Source organism: Homo sapiens, chromosome 7 (genome assembly GCF_000001405.40).
Source record: "Homo sapiens chromosome 7, GRCh38.p14 Primary Assembly".
Classification (NCBI taxonomy): domain Eukaryota; kingdom Metazoa; phylum Chordata; class Mammalia; order Primates; family Hominidae; genus Homo; species Homo sapiens.
In genome coordinates, this window is record NC_000007.14 from 54,516,830 (window position 1) to 54,522,829 (window position 6,000).

The following is a 6,000-nucleotide window of genomic DNA, read 5'->3' on the forward strand; positions in this document are numbered from 1 at the left end:
GTATCTTGCAACACTATTGAATTGATTTATTAGTCCTAACAGTTTTTTTGTAGAGTCTTTATGGTTTTCTATATACAAGATTATATTATCTGCAAACACAGACAATGTTACTTTTTCTGTCTCAAGTGCCTTTATTTCTTTTTCTTGTGTAAGTGCCCTATTTAAATATTTAAAGATGAATTAATGCCAATCCTCCTCAAACTCATTCAAAAAATTAGAGACCTCTTTAAACTTATTTTACAAGGCTAGAATTATCCTCATACCAAAGCCAGGCAATATCACTCCAAGAAAAGATAATTACAAGTCAATATTCCTGATGAACACAGGTGCAAAAATCTTTGAAAAATACTAGCAAACTGAATTAAACAACACATTAAAATGATCATACACCATAATCTAGCAGGATTTTTTTGGCATGCAAGGATGATTTAACATGAGCAAATCAGTAAGTGTGATACACTATAGAAATGTATAGAAACACTACACTTCCAGTGGGCAACCTTGTTTTTTCCTGATTTTAGAGGAGAAGTTTCAACTTTGGACCCTTGAATATGATGTTAGTGGTGGACTTACCATATGTATATGGCCTTAACTATATTATGTTTCTTCTACACCTAATTTGTTGAGAGTTTTTATCATAAAAGAATGCCAAGCCAGGCACAGTGGGTCACACCTGTGATCTCAGTGCTTTAGGAAGCCACGGCAGGAGAATCATTTGAGTCCAGAAGTTCGAGATGAGCCTGAGCAACGTATTGAGACACTGTCTCTACCAAAAATACAAAAAAATAGCCAGGCGTGGTGGCACATGCCTGGAGACCCAGCTACTTGGAAGGCTAAGAAAGGAAGATCACTTGAGCCCAGGAAATTCAGGCAGCAGTGACCTATAATTGTTCCACTGTACTCCATCCTGGGTGGCAGAGTGGGACCCTATCCCAAAAAATATATATATAATAATAATAATAAGTGATGTAGAATTTTGTCAAATAAATTTTCTATGTCTATTGAAATGATCATATAATCATTATCCTTCATTTTGTGAATATGGTGTATCACACTTACTGATTTGCTTATGTTAAATCATCCTTGTATTCCAAAAAAATCCTGCTAGATTATGGATTATGGTGTATGATCATTTTAATGTGCTGTTTAATTCAGTTTGCTAGTATTTTTGAAGATTTTTGCATCTGTGTTCATCAGGAATATTGTCCTGTAATTCTCTTTTCTTGGAGTGCTGTTGTCTGGCTTTGGTATGAGGATAATGCTAGCCTTGTAAAATAAGTTTGAAGGGGTCCCTGTTTAGTTTTTTGAAAGAGTTTGAGGAGAATTGGAATTAATTCATCTTTACATATTTGGTAAAATCCACCAGCGAAGCCTTCAGGTTTTTGGATTTTCTTTTATAGAATGTCTTTAATTACTGATTCAATATCTTTACTTGTTATTGGACTGCTTAGATTTTCTAATTTTCATGATTTGATCTTGGTAGGTTGTATGTTTCTTGGAATTTGTTCATTTCTTTTAGGTTAACCAATTTATTGACATATAATTGTTCATAGCAGTTTTCTTGTTCAAGAAATCCTTTATATTTCTGTGGTATTAGTTGTAATGTCTCCTCTTTTATTTATAATTTTATTTATTTGAGTCTTTCCTTTTTGCCTTAGTTATTCTAGCTAAAGGTTTGTCAATTTTGTCTATCTTTCAGAAAATTAACACTCAGTTTTATTTATCTTTTCTATTTTTTCTGTTGTCTGTATTATTTATTTCTTCTCTGTTATTTTCTTATTTCTGCCAACTCTGGGCTTAGTTTTCCTTTTTCTATTTCCTTGAGGTGTAATGTTAGATTGTATATTTTAGATCTTTTACTTACGTTAATATAGGCATTTACTACTATAAATTTTCCTCTTAGAACTGCTTTTTCTGCATTCCATAAGTTTTTGTTGTTATCTCACATGTCATTTGTCTCACAATATTCTGTTAATTTACTTTTTGATTTTTTTACCATTAGTTCTTTAGAAGTATGTTGCATAAATTTCCACATAATTATGAATTTTCTAATTTTCTCCTATTATTTATTTCTATATGGATATCACTGTGGTCAGAAAAGATACTTGATATGATTTCAATCTTCTTAAATTTATTAAGAACTGTTTGTGACATAATGTATAATCTGTCACGAAGAAGTTCTGTATGCACTTGAAAAGAATGTTTCTACTGCTATTACAGAAAATGTTCTGTATGTATCACTTAGGTCCATTTAGTCTATATGGATGATCAAGTTCACTATTTTCTTATTTTTTTTAATCTGGATGATCCATCTTTTGTTAGAAATGAGGTATTGAAGTCCCCTACTATTACTGTATTGCTGTATTTTTAAAAATTTCTGTTATAATTTGCTTTATATATTTAGGTGCTCCCATATTGGGCACATATATATTTACAAATGCTATATCCTCTTGATGAATTGACTCTTTTATCATTACATAATCACCTTTTTTATCTCTTGTGAGCATTTTTGGATTAAAGTCTATTTTGTCAATATAAGTAAAGCCATCCTTCCTCTCTTGTAGATACCATTTTGCATTGAATTTTTCTATCTCTTCACTTTCAGTGTGTGTATGTTCTTAAAACTAATGTGAGTATCTTGTAGAAAGTATAGGTTTTTTTAAAAAAAATCCATTCAGCCACTCTATGTGTTTGGATGGGAAATTTTAATCCATTTTTTCTTAAGGTAATTAATGATAAGTAAGGACTTACTATCAAAATTTGGTTATTTATTTTATGATTATGTTGTAGTTCCTTTGTTCTATTCTTTCTCTCTTGGTGTCTCCTTTGTGAATAGATGATTTTTTATGTTGGTATGCTTTGACTCCTTTTCCTGGTATGCTTTGACTCCTTTGCCTATTGACTACAAGTTTTTTTCTTTGTGGTTACCATGAGGCTTACATAAAATATCTTATGGTTTTAACAGATTATTTTAAGCTAGTGACAACTTAACTTTGCATACAAAACTCTGTACTTTAACTTCTCCCTCCGCATTTCATGTTATTGATGTCACAGTTTACATCATTTATATAGGATATCCATTTACAAATTATTGTAGCTATAGTTATTTTAACATTTTTGTTTCTTTAGCTTTTATGCTAGAGTTAAAAGTGATTTGCAAACCTCCATTATAATAGTAGGGTAGTCTGAATTTGGTTATATATTTATCTTTTAGTTAATTTTATGTTGTGCATATGTCTTTATGTTTTAAGTAACTTTTTTTTTTCAACTTAAAGCACTATCTTCAGCATTTCTATTAAGGAAGGTCTAGTGGTGACAAACTCTTCAGCTTTTGTTTATCTGGGAAACTATGTCATTCATTCATAAAGGATGGCTTTGCTAGGTATAATATTCTTAGTTGGAAGGTTTTGTTTGTTTGTTTGTTTGTTTGTTTGTTTGTTCCAGAACTTTGAATGTATCATTCTACTGACCTGCAAAGTGTCTGCTGAGAAATATGCTAATAGTCTTATGGCAGGGAGAGAAAGGGGTTTTTTCTTGGATGTGATGACTCGTTTTCTCTTGCTGCTTTCAAAATTTTCTCATTGTCTTTGACTTTTGAAAATTTTATTATAGTGTATCTCAGTGAAAATCTCTTTAAAAAATAAGACATTTGGGCTTCATGGGCCTGAATGTGCGTTTGCCTTTCCATATTTGAGAAGTTTTCTGTCATTATTTTAAAATAAGTTTTGTAACTCTTTACTTTCTTTACTACTTCCAAAATATTCATTATTTGTATATTGGTTTACTACACAGAGTTTTACAAGAGTCATAGGTTTTCTTATTTTTTTTTATTCTTCTGAATGGGTAATTTCAAATGACTTTTCTTTGAGGTCACTGATTCTTCATTTTTATTGAGTCTGATACTGAAGTTTTCTTGTTAAATTTTTAAGTTAAGTCATTGTATTCTTCAGCTCTTGGATTTTTTTATGTCTGTCTCTTTGTTTAAATTATAATTTTGCTTATGTATTCTTTTCTTGATATTGTTTTGTTGAATGTGTGTGTTCTATTATACCTTGCTGAGTTCTTTAAGAATATTGTTTTGAATTATGTGTCAGACAACTAATAGATCTCCATTTCTTTAGGTCAATAACAGGTGTTTTACTTTGATCCTTTTTGTTTCTTTTTCCAATTTTTTTTTTATTTTTATTGGTCATGGGGGAAAAGGTCATGTTTCATTACATAAGTTCTTTAGTGATGATTTATAAGATTTTGGTGCAACCATCAGCTGAACACTATATACTGCACCTTATTTGTAGTCTTATCCCAAAGTCCATCGTGTCTTTCTTATGCCTTTGCATCCTCATAGCTTAACTCCCACTTATGAGTGAGAACAAACAGTGTTTGGTTTTCCATTGCTGAGTTACTTCACTTAGAATAATAATCTCCCATCCAGATCACTGCAAATGCCATTAATTCATTCCTTTTTATGGCTGAGTAGTATTTTATTTTATAAATATATATATATTTATTTTATTTATTTATTTATTTTATTATATATTTATTTTATTTTATTTTATTTATTTATTTTATATATATATCAGTTTCTTTATCCATTCGTTGATTGTTGGGCATTTGGGTTGATTCCACAATTTGCATTTGTAAATTGTGCTACTATAAACATGTGTGTACAAGTATCTTTTTCAAATAATGACTTGTTTTCCTCTGGGTAGATTCCCAGTAGTGGGATTGCTGGATCAAATGGTAGTTCTACTTTAAGTTCTTCTAAGAAATCTCCACACTATTGTCCATAGTAATTGTACTAGTTTATATTCCCACCAGCAGTGCAGGAGTGTTTCCTGTTCACCACATCCACATCAATATCTACTATTTTTTGATTTTTTTTATTATGGCCATTCTTGCAGGAGTAAGGTGGTATCACATTGTGGTTTTGATTTGCATTTCCCTGATCACTAGTGATGCTGAGCATTTTTTCATATGTTGGTTAGCCATTTGTATATTTTCTTCTGAGAATTATCTAGTCATGTCCTTAGCCCACTTTTTGATGGCATTGTTACATTTTTTCTTGTTGATTTGTTTGAGTTCATTGTAGATTCTGGATATTAGTCCATTGTCAGATGTCTAGATTGTGAAAATTTTTCCCATTCTGTGGGTTGTCCGTTTGCTCTGTTGACTGTTTCTTTTGCTGTGCAAAGGTCTTTAGTTTAATTAAGTCCCAGCTATTTATGTTTCTTTTTATTGCATTTGCTTTGGGGTTCTTCGTCATGAAGTCCTTGCTTAAGTCAATGTCTAGAAGAGTTTTTCCAATGTTATCTTCTAGAATGTTTAGTTTCAGGTCTCAGATTTAAGTTCTTAATCCATCTTGAGTTGATGTTTTATAAGATGAGAGATGAGGATCCAATTTCATGTGGCTCATCAATTTTCCCAGCACCATTTGTTGCAAAGAGTGTCTTTTCCCCACTTTATGTTTTTGTTTGCTCTGTTGGAGATCAGTTAGCTGTAAGTATTTGGGTTTGTTTCTGGGCTTTCTATTCTGTTCCATTGGTTTATGTGCCTATTTTTATACCTTGCTGTTTTTGTGACTATGGCCTTATAGTATAGTTTGAAATCAGGTAATTTGATGCCTCCAGATTTGTTGTTTTTGCTTAGTCTTGCTTTGGGCTCTTCTTTGGTTCCATATGAATTTTAGAATTTTATTTTCTAATTCTGTGAAGAATAATGGTGGTATTTTGATGGGAATTGCATTGAATTTGTAGATTGCTTTTGGCAGTATGAGCATTTTCACAATATTGAATCTACCCATCCATGAGCATGGGATGTGTTTCCATGTGTCATCTATGATTCTTTCAGCAGTGTTTTGTAGTTTTCCTTGTAGAGGAAACTAGAAACTAAAAATTTACCTCCTTGGTGTGGTATATTCCTATTTTATTTTTTTTTTTGCAGCTATTGTAACAGGGATTGAGTTCTTGATTTGATTCTCAGCTTGGTCGTTGTTGGCATATA